This window comes from Homo sapiens, chromosome 3 (genome assembly GCF_000001405.40).
Source record: "Homo sapiens chromosome 3, GRCh38.p14 Primary Assembly".
NCBI lineage: Eukaryota > Metazoa > Chordata > Mammalia > Primates > Hominidae > Homo > Homo sapiens.
This window is the reverse complement of record NC_000003.12, coordinates 67,359,254-67,380,091: the sequence shown is the minus strand read 5'-3', so window position 1 is coordinate 67,380,091 and position 20,838 is coordinate 67,359,254. Positions and strand designations below refer to the sequence as shown.

General features: G+C 38.5%; 1 protein-coding gene across 4 annotated transcripts in view; it reads left to right on the top strand.

The window, feature by feature from the left end:
• Positions 1-19,632, top strand: part of SUCLG2 (succinate-CoA ligase GDP-forming subunit beta) — a 294,153-nt gene extending 274,521 nt beyond the window's left edge. For 2 of the 4 annotated variants that reach the window (NM_003848.4, XM_047449140.1), the window contains exon 11: positions 4,233-5,373. In NM_003848.4, coding sequence (NP_003839.2) covers positions 4,233-4,348 — 116 coding nt within the window. In that variant the 3' untranslated portion in view covers positions 4,349-5,373. Of the gene's footprint in view, positions 1-3,586; positions 5,374-19,323 lie in introns of those variants that run through there. The other 2 variants (NM_001177599.2, XM_017007420.3) reach the window with 2 other exon arrangements.

Genomic DNA, 20,838 nt, shown 5'->3' with positions numbered 1-20,838 from the left:
GGAGATCTATCAAAAAGTACCCGCCCACTCCTCTTCTCGTCAAGCACACTTTGTATGTGGGAATCCATCTGGAGTTACCCCGTCGGTCAGCACGTACTGCTAGCTAACGGATATTGGGAGGTATCCAGTAAGCAAGTCTGACAAAGGAAAGTGGATGTTTAGAGGGGACGAGGGAAGCATCAGTAAGTCATCCCAATAAGACTTCATCCATGGTAAGATTTTAGAAATACAAGGTGCTCCAGAAGTTCATTGTACCAGCCCCTGCTTTAGTTGGGGCATGGGGAGGTGGTGATTAGAAAGATATCCCCAAAGAAATACCATTTAACAGATGCCTTGTGAATGAATGGGTGTCAGCCCAGTGGAGAGAGGTGTCAGCCCAACAGAGCTCTGGGTGGAAAGCCCAGCAAGGGCAGTGGCCCAGCACATCTTTGTGCTCATGAATTTCTAAATCATTTCTTTTCCCTTGGGAATACTGGTGCTAAGTTGGGTGCAAAAGAGGATATTAATTAAGGAACTAAATTATTTAGATTACTTGGTTGCAAGGAAGCACAACTCATTAAAGTTATCTCAAAAAATTAAGAAGATCAAGAGCTCATTTCATCCATACACATGCAAAGGAACTCAGGTAAAACTGAATAAGAAGTTATCTGAATAAGTGGGAACCGTGATAAAAAACTAGTCTCCAGAAAGAGCAGGATCTGAAATGGAGGAAGACATCAGGAGCGCCACTCCTGCACCTATCTGGAGGTCTTAGAGCTGCATTGAGATTGGAAGGTGCTCAAAAGAAGAAAGGAAGAGGAAGAAGGGCCTAGTCTACGTCTCTGCAGGAGGAGATAGAAATTTACACATGGGGTACGGTGGCTCATGCTTCTAATCCCAGACTTTGGGAGGCCGAGGCAAGTGGATCACTTGAGGTCAGGAGGTTAAGATCAGCCTGGCCAACATGGTGAGACCCTATCTCTACTAAAAATACAAAAATTGGTTGGGAGAGGTGGCCACTGCCTCTCATCCCAGCTACTCAGGAGGCTGAGGCAGGAGAATTGCTTGAACCAGGGAGGTGAAGGTTGCAGTGAGCTGAGATCACGCCACTGCACTCCAGCCTGGGTGACAGAGCAAGACTCTGTCTAAAACAAAATTTACACGTGTAACTGTCATTTACCTTCTGGTCCAAAGACTGGTTTGCTCCTGTGTCCATCAGGGCTTTTGTTTCACACTCTGTCATTACTCCATGAAAGCCATGCTTTGATTAGTTTCTAAATTCCTTAGCCTGCTATCTAACACCTGCCACAGTCAAATGAATCAAAGTGCACGCAGGTTGTGTTAATGAAATAATACATTTTTACATCTGTGTTACTTACCTATCAGCACTTAACAAATTACCCCAAAATGTAGCAGCTTAACAAAAAGAACAGTTATTATCTCACAGTTTCTGTGGTCAGGAATCTGGGTGTGGCTTAGGTGGATCCTCTCACTCAGGGTCTCTCACAAGGCTGCAATCACAGTGTCAGCCGAGCTGTAGTGATCTCAAGGCTTGACTAGGGAAGAATTTGCTTCCAAGATCCCTTATATGGTTCTTGGCCAGATGCACTTCCTCCTTGGCTATTAGACCCAGAGCCTCAGTTCCTCATCAGCCGTTGGCCAGAGTTTGCCCTCAGTTCCTTGCCCAGGTGAGTCTCTCCAGAGGGCAGCTCATAGCAGGGTAGTTTGCTTCATCAGAGTGAAAAAAGAGTTAAAGGGAGCAAGACTGAAGCCACAGGCTTTTGTAACCTAGTCTCAGAAGTGACACTCCATCACTTTTGCCATGTTCTTATCTATTAGAAGTAAGGCTGTGGGTCCAGATCATACTCAAGGGGGACGGATTCTACAAAGATGTGACTACCAGGAGGCAAGAGTGATTGATCTTTGAAAACCATTTTAGAAGCTGCCTTCCACAGCATTTACAAAGTCATATGTTAGTCAAAATAATGCTAGCTCCTGTAACAACAGAAAAATGCAGAAATTTCAGAGTCTTAACATTATAGAAGGGTCTTTCTCATTCCCATAAGGTCTAAGAGGGTGAGTGGGTAAGATGCTTGGCTCCAGAGAGTTATTAAAGTATCCAGGCTGAAGGAGTCATTGCCATCTTCAAGAAGTGATTTGGCTGGGTGCAAGGGCTCATGCCTGTAATCCCAGCATTTTGGGAGGCCACGGCAGATGGAGTCCTTGAGTTTAGGAGTTCAGGACCAGCCTGGGCAATGTGGAAAAACCCCATCTCTACAAAAAATACAAAAAATAGCTGGGCGTGGTGATGTGTGCCTTTAGTCTCAGCTACTTGGGAGGCTGAGGTAGAAGGATCACTTGGGCACCGGAGGCTGAGGCTGCAGTGAGCTGAGATCACACCACTGCACTCCATCTTGGGTGACACAGCGAGAGCCTATCTCAAAAACAAAAAGCAAGACAAAACACAACCAGAACCAAAAAGGTGACTTCCAGGGCTGCCCCAGCTAGGAACACTCCAGAAAGCAGACAAGGAAAACCGAGTGTGAAGAGTCCCTTTGGAGATTGTCATGGCCATGTGACATTCCTTTGGCCTGAACTCAGTCACATGTCCCCTTCGAGATGCAGGGGGGCCTGGGAAATGTAGTTTCTGGCTGGGCAGCTGCTTTCCAGCAATAGCACTCTACTGCAGAAGAGGAGCAGGAGTCTGTGGTGCAAAGCCAGCCAGGCCTGCCACAGATACTGCACCATTTACAAAAATGCTTTTACACTCATTTCATTTGCTTCTCATCACAATCTATACCATCAGCTATACTGTCCTCATTTTTCAAGTAGGTAAGCAGACTAGCATATCTTTAGAACATGCAGCGTTTATAATTACAGAGAACAGTTCAAGTCCCATCTCTGACACTTACCGCCTCTGTGACCATGGAAAAGTTATTTAACTTCTCTGTGCCTCAGTTGCCTTATCTGTAAAATAGGAACAATAGGACTACTCATAGTTTTTGTAAAGATTTCATATGCTGTGTATAAGTTACTTAGCACTGTGCCTGGCATACATAAGCACTTAATGATATTAGTTCTTGGGAAGATTACGAGGATGATAGTGCTCTGTATGGAAACAAAAGTTAAGGCTCAAAGAAGTTAAACGATTTACCCAAAACTACATAACAAGTACATGGCAGAGCCAGCATGGAGATTTTAGGTAGCAGCTTCCCACATTTTATGCTTTCACCTTCCAGAGAGGACTTTCACCAGCTTCCTCTGTAAAAACAGGAGTAGGTGAGCCTTAAGGTGAAGACACAGTGCCAAGCGGCCATCTTCACTGCTGCTTGGGTAGACCCAGGGTCCCAGGGGAATCAGTGCTGCATCATCTTTTCAATCCACCCATTTCTATTTAATCCAGCATTTGCCTCTTTATATGAAATGTGCTGACCCAGTGCCTCTTTTTATCTGCACTCTTTGTGGTAAGGCAAGTTCTCCAAGGCCTATATTTCAAGGTCTTTGTTTATAAATAGGCTCTGTCTTGCCAACTAGATAAAAGCACAGGAAATGATGTAGGATGAGATATTTCATTAGACACTTAAATTCTATTACATTTCTCCTACAGGAGTTGTTCACTCTAAAATGGCAGAAAAGCAGTTCTCATGTTAAATAGTCCCCAAGCACACCTTTGAATGAAGTGACTTGGCCAGAAGATACTCCAGATCCACCAGGAACAGTCAAGAGATTGCCATCAGAGGCTGCTTTGCCCGTTTTGAAGGGCTCAGCCCATTTCATTTTATAGAGTGAGGAGAAGGCAGAAATGGACATGCTGGATGCGCCAGAGTCTCCAAAGCAGTGGATTTGTGGACATAGCTGGGCAGATTCTCGGAACTTCCTTTCTCAAATCAGGTCACAGCCCAAACCCCTGATGACGTCTGAGAGGGCTTTAAGACAAGTGACTTCTGGTGTGGGCCAAAACCGCATTAAATCCACATGGCTGTGATTATCAGCAGACAACTCAGCTTCCATCAGTAAAATATGTTCATTTCCCTCTTGCAAGCCCTTGCTTTCATCTTCTTTTCTAGCTGGACCACAGCTTGAGATAAATTTCATCACATAATCTTTTCTGTCAGTGACCTTGATGAGAACCTATATTTAATTCATTTCCTAGTGAAAAGCTGTAGACAGGTGAGTCTTGTGTGTCCTTGTGCAAACTTCATAAGGCGCCACCTCTAGTTTCATTCAGTGATTGTTCCCTGTCCCCCTTCTAGGAACCAACGTCCAAGAGGCCCAGAAGATACTCAACAACAGCGGACTCCCCATTACTTCAGCCATTGACCTGGAGGATGCAGCCAAGAAGGCTGTGGCCAGTGTGGCCAAGAAGTGATGTCTTTGTCCTGATCCAATGGAGAAAGAAAGCCATTTTTCCGTAAAAAGGGATGGTTCATCATTGTGAAAGAAATGGTTATCTCATTGGGGAAGAAAAGGGGAGGGGGAAGGCAAGAATCACTGAAAAATCTTAAATCTGTGTTTTCTGGAATAAGATATCTAGACAGCCTAAATCTGATTTTGGTCTTTATAAAAATAATATCTTGTGTTCTCATACTTTTCTGTCACTGTAAGCCTGCCCAGTAGGCAGTGTTTTGCAGACTTTGGGGAGTGGTCTATGTGGCCAAATATTGTGTGTATAGACAGAATTTGAAATCAAGTCCTGCTTCATTTACAAGAATTTTGGTGGGCATCTAATCCTACATAATGAAAAAGAAAAACAGACCATTTAAAAACTCAGACAAGATTATATTTAATATATTAATTACTAAAAAGGCATAAGATTACACTGAACATATTAGCTACTAAAAAGGCACTGCTAAGACATTCAAGCAAATAGCTATTACACACTACTGCAGATTTTACAGGTTTCTAATTCTAACATATGTTTGAAAAATCCGTGAGTATTCCAAAATATATTTAATAATGGAATATCTGCATTAATATACCATCCATGTGTTTTTACCATTTGCCTTAATATTGAATATACTGTTTACCTCACACTAAAAAGAAAACCAGAAGCCTTATTTGTGATTTTGGGAGTGGAAGCTTCCATTTTTGTGTCAAAAATGAATCCTGATTCTTATGGAAATCTCTGTTATTAAGATATTTCAAGATGAGACAACACTGAAGATCAAATTGTGTTTAGTATCACTATCTTCTCTCCTCGTTTCTCTCTTACTCCTCATCCTCCCAGAATCTACCAGTTTATGGTAGAAAGATGGGAACCTTATTTGAATGTGTTTTTTTTTTCCATGATGTCCAATTTTGTTGTGGGAAAGGATTTGGATAAAATTTTTGTTTAAATTTTGGTAGATTTTTATCTATACAAATTTAAATAAAATTATGTTTTGTAAGCTGTAAGATCTGTGTGTATCTCTCATTTTACTCAATTTTATTCCTCAAACATTTTTTTTTTTTACAAAGACACTAGTCTTAGTGTCTTAGGTATGCCTCTAAAATTTGATAATTTGGGTCATTCCAGGATTATTCCAGTTCCACTCAACTTTATCAGATACCCATTTCTGTGTTAGGAGATTATTGAATCCATAAAAGTTATACACAAACCAGAACCCCAGGAATGTATCTCAGATGTCTGACAGGTTGAACTGTGATGTCAGTCTGCGTAACGCAAAGGGAGATACTCCAGTATAACTCATTCCATTAAGTGAGGCTCAATTGCCACCATTAATTTTCCTTTCAGTGTATAAATATGTAGTAGACCAAACTATTTTGTTTGTTTTTTTTACCAGCTTACTTTGTTCTCATAAATTTTATGTGTGGACAAAAGTATGAAAGTCATTATTGTTTAGAGCCATGTTTGCCATGGAGAAATAAACTATTGGATAGATCAGTCTTACATCCTTTCTTAATGCCCATGCAATGAATGAAGAATATTAACAATGTCTTCTTAGTTGTGTTTTGGTTTTTGATAGCTTAATCACTAGTTGGTGCAGTAAAAAAAATAACCTATATTATGTCAACTAGACAACATTTTTAAATTTTTGATCTCTGAAGAGGACTATGTTTGAATCACTTGTAAATATTGATGTTTCCAGTCAACCCAATTTGGAGGAGGGGATAAAGCAATTAAATCATTTTTGTGATTATTTCATAAAAGGGTTAATAACAAGGAAATAGCCTTTTATTTTCAAATAAGCTCAAAGCCATCAGAGCTTGTTCTTTTTGCATCCTTAGCGTAGCTTGTCTCTAATTGTTTTATTCTCAGGCAGGCCATTTTTACAGGTGGATAATGGCTGCTGGCCATTACATGTGAGGTTCTCAAATTTAGCATCCTCAGAAGAGAAAGAGAGAGGGAGCAGAGGGAAAGAGAAAATAAATGAGCAAATAAACGAAAGAAAGAGGGAGGAAGGAGAGAGGAAGGAAAGAAGCTTCTCTTGGTAATTCTAAGACACCTCCCAAAATTGAATATGACTCCAGTGATCAGTTTCAGGTCAGTAACCTATTCCTGAATCTGGCCCCGGTTCATTTACAATAATTTTTGTGGTCTTCTATACAATAAATATAGGCCATAAAAAACTCAGACAAGTTTACATTTAACATATTAACTACCTGATATGGTTTGGCTGTGTCCCCACCCAAAATCTCATCTTGAGTTGTAATCAGTGTTTTTGATTGTTTTGGCTTTGAGCTTATTTGAAAATAAAAGGCTATTTGCTTGTTATTAATCCTTTTATGAAATAATCACATAAATGATTTAATTGCTTTATCCCCTCCTCCAAGAATTAAATTACAATTCTTCTACATTTTATTTTCATGTCTCTTCCTCTCAGTTTTCTCTCTGAGGAAAAAAAAAATGTCATTAAGAATTATATTGTTTTTTAAGTGCAAAGCCTTGATAAAAATTAGAAGGAATATTATTTTTTCACATTACTAAAGTAAATATTTGAATGTTTGATTGTGATCATTTGTAGAATACACTATATGTTCAAAATTAAAATAAGCGAGAAAATATATATCATAGTGGGGAAGGAAACAATGTGGGGAAGTGAAAAGGATATGTTCTTTCATATTTTTCTAGATCTGGAGTTGGCAAACTAAGGCCCAAGGGCCTATTTTAGTAAATTAAGTTTTATTGTCACAGACACACCCATTTGTGTGCATGTTGTCTGTGGCTACTTTCATGCTACACAGCAGAGCTGAGTAGTTGTGATAGAAACCTTATGACCCTAAAATATTTCCTCTTTGGCCCTTTACATAAAAGGTTTGCCAACCCCAGCTCTAGATAAATAAAAAAATACAACATTGCCCCCAAAATGACAGCAACGGAGTATTGTTTTCAAACCTGAGAAAGGAAGATTTAGATATTAAAGTGAAACAGAAATGGAAAAGTAGGAAATAAGATCTTTGATCTTTCCATTTTAAACCCTGTGAGAGCTACAAAAAGTCTACAAAAGGCCACTTGCCAATGAAAACCAATTCAGTTTTGTTACTTTTTGTCTTTCCATCACCACAAGGACTGTCTGCAGTAGCTCCTTGCACTTTTGAACATATGCTGTTCCTAACTGCTCACAGGTGCATTGGAATAATACCAAATCATGGCTATGAATATTAAACTACCAAAGGGCTGCACCTATCAACTAACTCATCCTCAAAGTGATCCTTGCTAGTAAGTATGTCATGCATTGTTTAGTCTTGGAAAGACTAAAGCAAGGAAAAAAAAAAGTGACTGCAGTGTACTTGATCCCCACCACATTACTGCAAAGGCAGTATCCATTTTACCAGTGAGGAAATTGTGACAAAGTGAGATAAAGTTGCTCCTCTTGAGTTTCGTAGTTAATGGCAAAGATGTTGGCTTCTGGACTTTGGATTCTTGTTTAATTCTATCATTTCTTCTATTGTCCAGTAAAACTTTCTGTATGACAGCAATGGTAAATATCAGTGCCGTCCAACATATAGTCATCCATCACATGTGACTATTGAGCATCCTGGGAACTGAATTTTAAAGTCTAATGCTAATTAATTGACAGCCACACATTGCTAGTGGCTGCCATATTGGACAGTATAGCTCTCTGGTCTAAATCTCCTGAGTATTAGGATGCGTTACTTTCACTTCAGAGAGGCTCACATTGATTAAGTGCTTTCTGTGTGCCAGGAACTTTACCTGTGCTATCCTAATTAATCCTCTTTAGCAACTCTATGAATCTGTCATTGTTGTTTTACTGGTGAGAACATTGTAACTCCGAGAATTTAAGTAACATGACCAAGAGCACAAAACTAGCATGTGGCGAGTCAGGATTGAAACTTGGTCTTCTGAGTCAAAAGCCACTGGTCTTTGTTTTGTATCTATGGGGACCCAAATTCACTAAGGTTATGCCACTTATGATCATTTGAAAGGATGTTGGAGGCAAAGACATTTAGCAAGCTGGGTTCTTGAATGTATTGCTTGCCCTGTGTATCTCATACTTTGGGAAGCAGGATTTAGAAGCAGAAAGATCACCATAAGCAACTGGCAGGTCATATGGACTACAATGTGAATGGCACCTCCGGGACTTGCACAAGGCATAAGGCAAGGGCCATTTTCTAGGGATCTAATTCCCAAGTGTCTTCTCTTTAACTCAGTGCCTTCCCAACATCTATAACCATGACCATCCAAAAGACAAAAGGCAGAGGGGCAGAAGAGATAAAGGCTGGAGGCACTTTTATCATATTAGGAGAAAATTTAGTGTGCAGCCTTTACCCTTCTTCTGGAGAAGTTTAGGTCTGGCAGTCTTATCTCATATTTTCATATTCTAAGTAAGCCAGGAGCAATTCCTAGGCACCTTATGCCAAATTTCACAAATCCAAAATTAATTAAATTGTATATGCCAGCTATGGGGAAATTGTCAGGTTTTTGTTGTTGTTGTTCTTGTTCCTCCCTTGTGTTTGTAGAGGCAGCAACATACAGGCATGTTTATTGGGAGCTCTCCTAATTCCTTTCCTAGCTAGGGAAGAAAAAAATGAAAGTAAGCCATGATGTAGTAGTCATTAACACATCTGTTTTCAAACATCAGACAATGGGAGAAACTAGAAGATTTGGAGATTCAATTTGGAGTTTTTTTTCAATTACCTTTTAATATTGAACATTCATGTGCTTTAAATCCTTATAACTAGTTGCCCTGAGCAAAACAAATAATTTTTGAAGGACCTTGTATTAAAAAGCAGAAACGACATCACAATGATAAATCGTTTTAAATAAATAAATAGCCTTGTATTAGGAATCACATACAGCACATACAGTAGTCCTCCCTTATCCATGGTTTCACATTTCAGTTTTAGTTACCTGTGGTCAGCTACAGTCAGAAAATAGATTAGTACAGTACAATGAAATGTTTTGAGAGAGACCACATTCATATAACTTTTATTACAGCATATTGTCATAATTGTTCAATTTTATTCCTGTTTGTCTCTTACTGTGCCTCATTTATAAATTAAACCTTTCCATAAGGATATATGTCTAGGAAAAGACATGCTATGTGTAGGGCTTGGTACTATCTGTGGTTTTAGGCATTCACTCGGGAGTCTTGGATGCCCTGCAGGTAAGGGGGGATTCCTGTATATTAATAAAAGTATTGGTTGGGTTTTATTTATCACTCTTCATGTATATGATCTCATGGATACAAACAGGTGACCTTGCCAATTGGTGCTTTTTGTGTGTTTAAGAAAAGAACAGTAGTAACCTTGCTCCCTGGATACCAATAAAAAATCTATTATTTTTTTAAAAGAATTTTGGACCTCTAGTTAAAAGATCATTGTTTCCCAACTGCATGACTCTATCTTGAAACATTTACTTATTGTTCTTTATTAAACATATTTTTAATTATCCTATGTTTTAAATAATTTCTTCCAAGATTGCTTCCTTTCAAGAGAACTTTTAAACATTCAGTTAAATAAGAACCCTTTAAATTTCTGTTAATTGTTTCAAATGTTACATAATTTGTATGGACCCATTGACAGTTGTAAACTTTCAGAATATTGCGTGTGAATTTCAAAAAAATTTGTAAAATATTCGCATACATTGAAATTCATTAAACTATGTTTTCTCATACTTTTATTTTTTATAAAAATCTAGTATTAAAAATAAAAGTATTAATATTCAAGTTTGACAAAAATATAAGAAAGTAGATACTCTTCATTAATTTAGTATTTACTATGTAATCAGTATAACGTTTCTGGAGGTCAGTTTTTTAGTACAGATTAACAGCCTCAAAAATGTTCATAGTGCCACTTCTTTAGGGTATGGAAATGGCTTCTGGGTAGGAACAGGTGAAACAGGAAAACAGAATGCCTGGGCTGATCTATGTGACAGAAGCAAAGGTTGAAATCTCTGTGCTGAAAGCCAGTGGGCGTCTTTTCTTCTCACCATCCAGAGCTAATAAATGGCAACGGCATACGCCTCCAACTAGGTAGATGCTTAGCAAAATCACAGAGGAGACAGCATGGTGCAGCTCTTCCAAACAAGACTGCACACAGGCCCAGCGGAACGGCTCCCATCCACCCTCTCCTTTCCTCCCCGCTACACACAACACATTTCCACCAATGGCACACAGCCTCAGGAAAGTATTGCATATGCACTTCCCAGCTCTCAGGGAGGTAGACAACTGATCTCAGATAAGGAGATCAGAGAGAATTAGCACACAATATATCAGAACAAAGAGAAGGTAGACAGCTGCTGTGTTCATCATGACCAAGAAAACAAGAAACAGAAACAACATGGCATCTGTGCTATTCAGTAAAGGAAAGAGGGGTAAGCCAAAGGCAGAAAAACGAAGGCACCACCCATAATAGACAAATAATCCCTTTTGGAAAAACATATAACTGAAGAAAAACATTTTTTAAATCCCTAAAGAACCTATTCGTGTAATACTTAATAAAACTATTAATTCAGTTAATAAACAAAAAGGTGATCAAATACTGACATAAAAACAGAAAAAGAAGAAAAGGGAGGTAAGAAAATCAGTGGAGAAGGAGGAAAACAATATTCAAGAACTGACCAATAAATCACAAAAAGTAATGAATCCTAAATATATTGCAATGCACAGGAGAGCCCCCACCCTCAGTGAAGAGTTTTCTACCCAAAATGTCAATAGTGTCAAGGTTGAGAAACCCCAATTTAACTACATTTACTAATTTAACATAATAAATGTGGGTTACGGATTCATTAAAATGAAAATGCCAGCCGGGCCTGGTGGCTCACACCTGTAATCCCAGCACTTTGGGAGGTTGAGGGGTGCAGATCACCTGAGGTTAGGAATTCGAGACCAGCTGGGCCAGCATGGTGAAACCCCTCCTCTACTAAAAATACAAAAACTAGCTGGATGTGGTGGCGGGTACCTGTAATCCCAGCTACTTGGGAGGCTGAGGTAGGAGAATCACTTGAACCCAGGAGGTGGAGGTTTCAGTGAGCCAAGATTGTGCCATTGCACTCCAGCCTGGGTAACAAAAGTGAAACTCTATCTCAAAAAATAATAATAAATAAATAAATAAAATGAAGATGCCAGAAAAATGGAAACATATAAAATAGTGGATTGTATGATTCACCATGAATGCAGAGGGGGAAATAAAGAAATTAAAGGAACTAGGAGACAATAATACATAGGACAAGGACAATCCAACATAAGGATAATTGGTGTGCTTAAAGTAGAAAAGACCAGCAACTAAAAATGAAAGTGATTTTAAAGATATAATAGAATAAAAGTTTATTGAAATGAATGTGAAATTGTGCCAAAAGACTGAAAAGAAACACTGTATTTCAGGAAATATCAGCAAGTTGATACTTTAAAGACAAAGGTTTTTAACTTTAAGAATAAAGAAAGAATCCTTTGGGTTCCTTGACTAAACATGCAGATGAACAAATGCAGAGGAGAAGAAATTTTACTGGACTCATACTTCTCAGCCATTTTTGATACCAAAAGACAGTGAAGCAAATCTGCAAAAATTTTAGGGGAAGAATGTGTTTCCCAAGAATATCATACCCAACCAAAGGCACACTTTTATCAAACATTGGGAATAACTTCAATATCTAAAAGTAGTAAATGGAATAAATAATATTGTGTATAAACAGTGGAATATCGTGTAGCCATTTTAAAAATGAGGAAATAAACATATACGTTTTTGTGAAAGAATGTTCATAATATATGCTGCAAAAGAGAAGTAATAATGCTAATTTTAAATGTGTTTATATATATTCCATATATAAAATATCTTATAGCTAGATACTTGGATACATATCTGTATAGATAGAGAAAATTGACCATAACAATATAAACTAAAATATAAGTGTGGAAGAAAAATGGGTGACTTTGTTTTCTTTTCATAAATTAGTGGCTCTCAACTAAGGACAATTTTGCTCTCCCTGGGAAAATTTTGCAATGTCTAGAGACGCTTCTCTTTGTTGAAACTGGAGACACTCCTCACTTCTAGTAGGTAGAGGCCAAGGATGCTGCTGAACATTCTACAACACAGGGTCTGCCCTCCACAGCAAAGAATTATTCAACCCAAAGTGTCAATAGTGCCAAGGTTGAGACACACTGATTCAATTATATGTATTAATTTACTATAGTAAATATGGGTCATTGGTATAATAAAGACAAAAATTACCAAAAGAAAAAGCACTGCATAAAGTTAAGTGAGACAAGAGTATACTTATTAGATAAATATATTAAATTTAAAAAGATACAAATGCTTTTACACATTTCTCTGAGATCTTGAACTAATTTACAAATGTTCTATGATTGTGAAAACTTATGTAAGTTATACTGTTCTTTTAATAATATACTTTTTGGGGGGATAAATATTAAACTGCAAAAAAATATGGTAAATACAAACCCAAGTAAGTTTGTTTTAAAGCTGATCTATTCAAATAACATTTAAAAATCTCACTCAGTTTACATTTTAGTGTCTCAGAATGAAAACTCATCTTAGTTTTAGATCTTTAACTGGAATAATATAATTAGTTACTGGTTCTCAAAGAGCATGTATTTCATGGATATGCCACCCAGTTTTGTTCAATATATAGAACTTAATTTTTTCTATAATATGCGTTGTAATTATTGATGACTTTTTCATGTTGCTGTAAGTCTCTTTAACTTTGAAGTGCAGTGTCTAAAATTCTAGTATTTGAAATTATGCCACATTTTGTTCCAGTGATGAATGTCAAACAGTATGTTGATCTATATTGAGGTGTTTCATGGGGGTGAAGCTTGCTACTTAGAAAAAGGCATTGTGTAAGGACAATCAGCACCTCAAAAACATGGCTGGTTAAAGGCAACATGGCAGAACTTTGCCTCCTGAGTATACAAAAAAGCATGTTCCAGGCAGCTAACAGTTCTTCCCAAACTCTAACAGAGTGCTGGAGGGGGCTAAATTCTGCTCAACGTTGTCATCCTATGAGTGCTCAGGCTGCAAATATGGCTGGTGAGCTTCAGGTTCTTCTGAGTCATTTCATCCTTGGAAGCCAAACCTCTTCAGGACCACTGTCGCAGAATACACCATTTTAAAATAGAGCTTGGAAAATGTAGCTGATTAAGTTGAATTCAAACACGTGTTTCTCTACCATCTGCTCTTCCCTGGCACCATGGCAGCTGCAGCGATAACAGAGATTAAATAGAGGCAAAATCTCTACTCAAGGAATGAGTAATCCAGACATGCTTAGAACTACTCACTTGAACTGGACAGGACTTGGAGAAGCAATGCAACTTTCCACTTTTCTGGGGTTTTTTTGTTTTGTTTTGTTTTTTGAGATGGAGTCTTGCTCTTTCGCTCAGGCTGGAGTGCAGTGTGTTTAGTAGAGATAGGGTATCACTGTGTTAGCCAGGATGGTCTCGATCTCCTGACCTCATGATCCGCCTGCCTCAGCCTCCCAAAGTGCCGGGATTACAGGCGTGAGCCACTGCGCCCGACCAAGTTTCCACTTTTCTAGTGTTTCCACACTAGAAAAAGTTAACAAGATTTTTCCCATAGATGATGATCATACCACATGTTCATGTATATGTTAGTGTGAGGGATTTTATGTCTTTAGGGGCAGGTTTTAGGCATTGAAAAGATCTTCCAGAGGTTTAAATGTGAATAATTAAGTTACAAATTTTAAAGCCAACTTTCTGAATTTGTAGATCTCATTCTATTTATAAATCTATTCAATTTTGAAAAATCACCTTTAAGGGGATTGATTCATGTTTTCAAACAATGAAACTCCTTTAAATACGCAAACTGCCTGTACAAATTTAATATATTTCGTTATAGTTTTGTTTTCAATTTTATGCTAGTCCGCTCCATTTAAGAAATTCTCACAAAAAAGTTTAAAAATCGTCAAGAAATTCTTAAGTTCTCTTAAATGTGCTGATACTGCCTGCATACTCAGTAAGATTTCAACTTAAAATTGCAAATTTTTTATCACGTGCTTAGTCACACATGTTAGACTGAACATGTATGCTTAGTCATACATGTTAGATTGTATGAAAACAGGACACTGACCTGTTAATCCAAATATTTCTTACATGTGGAAAATGCATAAAATATCAAATGCACAAAAATATTGAACAATGGAGTGTCTTAAACATTTCTACACTTAATTTGAATCTTCCTGGGCTAACTGAAGTCATAACTAGTCACTCTGGCTAGACACTGTCTAACACTGTTACTGTAGCATCACTGATGGTCTCTGAGTCCTTTTCACAGGTTAAAAACAACAACTTCATAATCTGAACAAAGTGATTATCTGGTGGCTTTCATAACCTACATAGTCATACTCAGACTTATTCTTGAAAATCGTGAGTTTCGTTCAGCTTCTTGATTCTAAAGGTGTATGTCTTTAGCCAAATTTGGTAAATTTTCAACTATTATATCTTCAAGTTTCCAGCCCCACTTTCTCCTTTCAATACAGGAGTTCGGTGACATAAATATTAGCTCTTCTGTTATAATCCCACAGGTCCCTGATGTTGTTTTCACTTTTTCAGTCTGTTTTCTCTGCATTGTTCAAATTGGGTAATTTCTATCATTCTGTCTTCCAGTTTACAGATGCTTTTCTCTGTGCCCTCCATTTTGCTGTTCAGCTCATCCATTTTTATTTTATTTTGGTTGCTGTATTTTTCAGTTATAAACTTTCCATTTGGTTCTTTCTATCCTGTTTCTTTGCTGAAACTTTCTATTTTGTTCCTGTTTCAAGTGTGTTCATAACTATTCAGTGCCAGCATTTTTTATGATGGTTGCTTTAAACTGTCCGTTAGATGATTCTGCCATTCCTGTCATCTCCGTGTTGGCATCTATGGATCACCTTTTTTTTCATTCAGCTTGAGATCTTCCCAGTATAAAGCATGTTACTCGATTGAAACTTGGACATTGTGGATGTTACTTTCTGAGACTTTGGATCTTGTTTAAATCTGTTCGAGCCAGCTTCCTCTAACTCTGCTCCAGCAGAGGAGGAAGGAGATACCTCACTGCTGCCATGTTGGGTGGACAACCAGGTGGCCTTCATTCACACCTGAAGTGAGGCTCCTTATCACTCCTGGGTGGGTGGGCACTCTGACTTTTCATTACGCCTCCACTGACTGAATCCCCTAGGCTTGGAGAGCAAGGAATGCCTAGTGCTGCACTCCCTCATGGCCCCACTAGCACCACAGAAGAGAGTTATGGCCTCTTTACTTGGGGGTGGGGGGGGTGGAAGTCCTGCCTGTCTGTTAGGCCTCCTCTGACACCACAACAGTGAATAGTTGGGGGGGATGCCTCTTTACCGCTGAGCAGGGGTGGAAGGCCAGGCTCCCCATGTGTTCTCCACTGACCCCATGTAGGAGGTGGGAAGTCTTGTTACTGTCTAGAAGAGATCAACAAACCAACTCTCTACTCAGCCTTTCTAATACCACCCAGGCAGAGAGATTGGGTTCCTCCTTATAGTCTAGTGAGGGTGAAAGTCAGAGCTCCCCAATCAGCCTTCATGGGCTTCAGTAGGGCTGGGGTCACAGGTTGCTTCTGTGGTGTCCCACTGAAGTAGAGTGGGTATAGAAGAGTCCTGCCTTGTTAGGCTGCCCCTTCCTGGTCCTTTGGCTACAGACAACAGGCTTTTGTTGGTGGTTTCCTTGTCTGTGCCCATTGGCATTTCTCCAGTTTCTTCAGTTCCAACTCTGGGATATATGAGGCAAAATGAAAACCCAGGGAACTCACCACTGTGTTGTGTCTTATTTCCTTAAATCCCTAGGAGATCTGATTTTCTCCACCTTTCAAAGCCATCTTATATTTGATGTAGAATGTCCAGAAATTTACTTTTGTACAGAGCTCATTTGCAGGGGGTGAGGTTGGGGGGAGGGGGAGGAAGTGCTATTGTTCTCTCTTTGATCTGTTTGCTGAGTTACCCTTTTTTTAAACCATATTTTTTCAAAAACCACAGTCATGCTTTCTGTTTAAAATGTGAAGATTGTAAAATTGTAAAAGATGAAATAAAAATCTCTCAGAACTTTACTACTGCTGTTCACATCTTGGTATGCTTTCTTTCATTGATTTTTCAATGCCTAGATAGAGAGATGGATAGATTTGTTTTATTATTTAAGATTGCACTATGTGTAGCCTTATATAATTTTTCTTTTAAGACTGTATGACGGGCGTTTTTCTAGCCACCATCACCTATTCTCTGATTATCTTCTGAAAGCAGAAACCCACAAATACAGGGGAGATGAAAATCCTGGCAGTCAGACATCAAACATGCTCTCTACTTGAATAGTGCTGTTAAGAAATGTATTAGTGTATAGTGGTACAATTTGAGAATAAACATTTCCAGGAATGAATAAAACTTTGCTTTAATAACTATGGAGGTTCTAACCAACCCCCAAATTATCAGATGTCTGTGAATTTCTGGACCCTTTGAGAAGAGTGAGCTATAATTTTTCTCTATCCAAAGATTTATACCAATGGATACTATTTCAGGGTTCTTTTGGTTATTTTATTTTTTGGTTGAGCAAGAAATGCTCAAATTTATTGCATGTCTTTATTTGGGTTTGGTTGGAAGTAGAACCTAAAATAGGAATTTTCCTGCAAGTGATTTATTGAGGTCAAGTTCTCAGGAGAAACATAAAGCAAGATGAGGGCATAGATTAGTGCAGGGAAAGGAACCTGGCAAAGATGTGGTTTTAGAAGTCAAGCCTAGGCCCCATCTCACGGGGAGCTCTAGAGCATAAATTACACCACGGAGGTTATCTCACTCAGAGGCAAGCAGGCTGGACTACTCCATAGCTGCATCTATGAGTCACTGATTACAGGCTTCCTGTGGGGGAGAGGGCTTATTTGTGTACCTCTCAGGTATCTTTGAATGAGGCAGCTCCAGTTACTCAAAGCATACTTCTCGAGAAGGCTACAAATGTAACTCATCAGTCATCACACACAAAAGGTGGAGGATACGACTTACATCTTCATTCAATAAAAATTGGTGCCTGTCACTGCATTAGGTAGCGTGTACCTAATACACTATATTATCTGCTGCGTTAGGATACAGTGGCGACCCAGATAACAGTTGCAGCCTCTAAACTCATGGACTTTGCAATTTCATGGAGGAGACCAGCTTAACTATCACACACACACAAAAAAATTAGATTATCATTCATTAACAGAGACATCAGTAAAAAGTTCTCTGATATAAAGTAACACAAATACATGAAAATATATTGCAATTTTAAAGAAAGCCCACTTACTCTGGATTGGAAGGAAAAGCTTGCCTAAGGAAGCTACTTTTGAGCTAAGAACTGATGAATAAATGTATTTCAGCTAAGGAGCTGGCCAACGTAAGGGGCCAGGGGAGACGCATAAGAGACAGCTCCAGGCAGAGGGAGAACAGCATGTGCAAGGATCCTGTCCTGGGGTACATGAAAAGTTCTCTTAAATAGATAAGTCTAATGTTGCTGGAGTGGGTGTGGAGAGCAACAGGGAAGTGTTGGAAAGTATATCAGATTGATAGCCACAAGAATGCTGTATAACAAATCATCTCAAAACTCAGTGGTTTGTAACAATAAGCATTTATTTTGCTTATGAGTCTGGGAGTCAGTTATTTAGGACAAGCACAACTGGGCAATTTTTCCTGTTGGTTTGGCTTATTCACATGTCTGGGAACCAGCTGGCTGATGGTTGATCTAGGTTGGCTTTGGCTGGAACACCTGGGCAGCTTGGCTCTGTTCTGTATGTCTCATCCTTCAGCAGCCTAGCCAGGGCATGTTCCCCTCACCATCCCAGAGGAGCAAGAGCAAAACCAAATACATGCAAGCACTTTCTAGACATCTGTTAGTATCACAACCACTAAAATTCTATTAGCCAAAGCAAGTCACATGGCCAAACTCTAAATCAAGATACCCCAAATATACTCTACCTCTTTGTAGGAGTTGCTTAAAACCCCATGGCAAAAAAGCAAGGATACAGGAAAGGATGAAGAATTGGGCCGTTAATGCAATCTATCTAATAATAGAGAAGTGGGCAGGGGCCAGGCCATTTTAGTCGCTGCAGGCTGTACCAAAGTTGCCAAGGCTCACACAATGGCCCATTTTCAAGTCGAGGGTAGAAATCTGTCTCGTCTGTCTCCTGAGCCCTGCCCTAGAAAACAACCCATCCCACCAGTAGCATCAGTTTCCTTTTTTAACTACAGGCTGCAGTTGTATTCCACATAACCCACATCTTGAGACATCTGTAAGTGGTGTGCTCATGATTCACAGTTTCTATTTCCCTTCTCATGCTGCTAGACTTTGTATTTAATGTACATTTTGTATTCCTGTGAGAAACTCAACGTGATTTATACTCTATGCATTAACTAAGCTGTCAACTACTCCTTTGATATAGTTACACATCACAATAGATGGTGGAGAACTCTATAATAGAAAAGTATAATTACCATTTATAGGTGCAGCCCAAAAAGGCACCAAAAGACTCTTGAGTGATTTTTTTTTTTTTCCGGCATCTCAGAACAAGCCTAAGATTGAACAGTTGGACCCAAGAATCCAGACTTCTGGTCTAGTCTCTATTATAGTCACTCTATTATCTGTTTTATAAGAAAATTTTGTGCATGGTTGCTATTTCTATCTGGACGTAGGACACTTACTTGTTTCATCTGCCTTATCCAAATGTCAGCAATCCAAGAAGACGATGACGTTGTTTTCCCAATAAACGAGAGAGAGACAGGGAAAAAAGTTCAGTCCTCAAAGCATATTCCTCCAGTGGGAGAAGAATCAGTAACACGATGTTTCCATTAAGGAATAGGAGTAACAGGATCTTAGGAATACCATACTGTTGTTGTTCATCTAAATATATTGCAAGAAAAAACTCATTACAAGAATCTCACTCCAATTTCAGGTACTTTTATGGAAAAAAAAGGAAGTTATATGCACATAAAACAAGAAACAGGAAATTCAAATGAGAATATAACTGGTATCCAAGAGAACGTCGCCCACCAAAATCTGAGTAAGTGTGCCATCAGCATTTTTTTATGTTAAAGATTTACTTTGCTAAGATACTTGCTGAGATTACTTTTCCAAATTAATGAATATCATCACAAAATTATTTTTTTACATTTGGGTTCAGCTGCATGCTAATGGAAATGGAAAATGGAAGGGCATGGCTTATAGCTGTTCATTCACCAAAAATATTTTAGAATTGTGTCCAGGTAGGTAATGTATGCAAGAAGTGTTCTTGTTTAATAAAGGCATTTGAAGAGTTATGAGGATGAAGGGTATGTATAATCGATAACTATGTTCAGATTGCCAAGAGCTTTGGCTCCTTAAATGGGTGGGGAATGAGCCATTGGTCCTTTCCCTTTGGATAGCTTCTGTCACATCACTTGTTAATCCTCCTTATTGTTCAGCACCTCCATCAGAGTTCAGAACGTTCTATATAACAGCCTCTCTTCATTCATGACTCCTGTACCATATTAGCCATCCATGAGAGAAGGCCTCTCAGATTATTCCACTCCAGTTGGAAAAACTTTGCTTCTCTATTTATAATCTGTTTATAAAACAAAATTAAGAAACTGGTTCCAGAATGTTATATCCGTTAGAATGCATTTGGCTCCAAGTCATAGAATATTCTTATAAGAGCTAATTAAACATAAATACTGTATTATCTCACATAACAGGAATCTGAAAATAGGGCGGTTCTAGGGTTGGTTCTTCAGGGGCTCAGTAATGTTCTTGTTAACTTCTCTTATTCCCTTGGTTTTGCCCTCATGATCCAATGTGGTTGCCACAGTACCAACCATCACATCTTCAGACAACAACATCCAAAATCAGGAAGGGGCAGTTTCTTGTCTTCTGACCTTTCCTAAAAGCAAATAATACTTTTCAAGAAGAGTTCTAGCAAAATTTCTCCTTTTTTCTCATTGTCCTTTTCACAAGAATTGTCATATGCCTGCTCCTACCTCAGTCATCAACAAGCAGAATGTAATTACCTTGATTCTCAGACTATTGCATTTTTAGTATCTGTGGTGTATCTTTCTCCTTTTCTCTTGCTGTTATTGTTTATTTATGCCTATTCTTAAAAAATTAGTCTTGCTACAGCCTTTTCTGTTTCTCAGAGAACCAAGCTGTGGTCACGTTCATTCGCCCCAGTGTATTATAGTTTTCTATTTTATGTATTTCTTGATTATGTTTGTTATTTTTTCTTCTGATTATTTTGAGTTACTCTTTCTAAATTCTTTGTCTAGATCTTTAAATACTTAACTCATTTATATTTAGTCTTTCTTGATATTGAATAGATCCATTTAAACTTACCTGTAAATATTTTATCTGCATCTCACTAATTTTGCAGTTTCAGCTGTCTTTTCATTGGTGTTCTATCCTAAATACTTTGTAATTCTCTCACTGTTATTTTCCT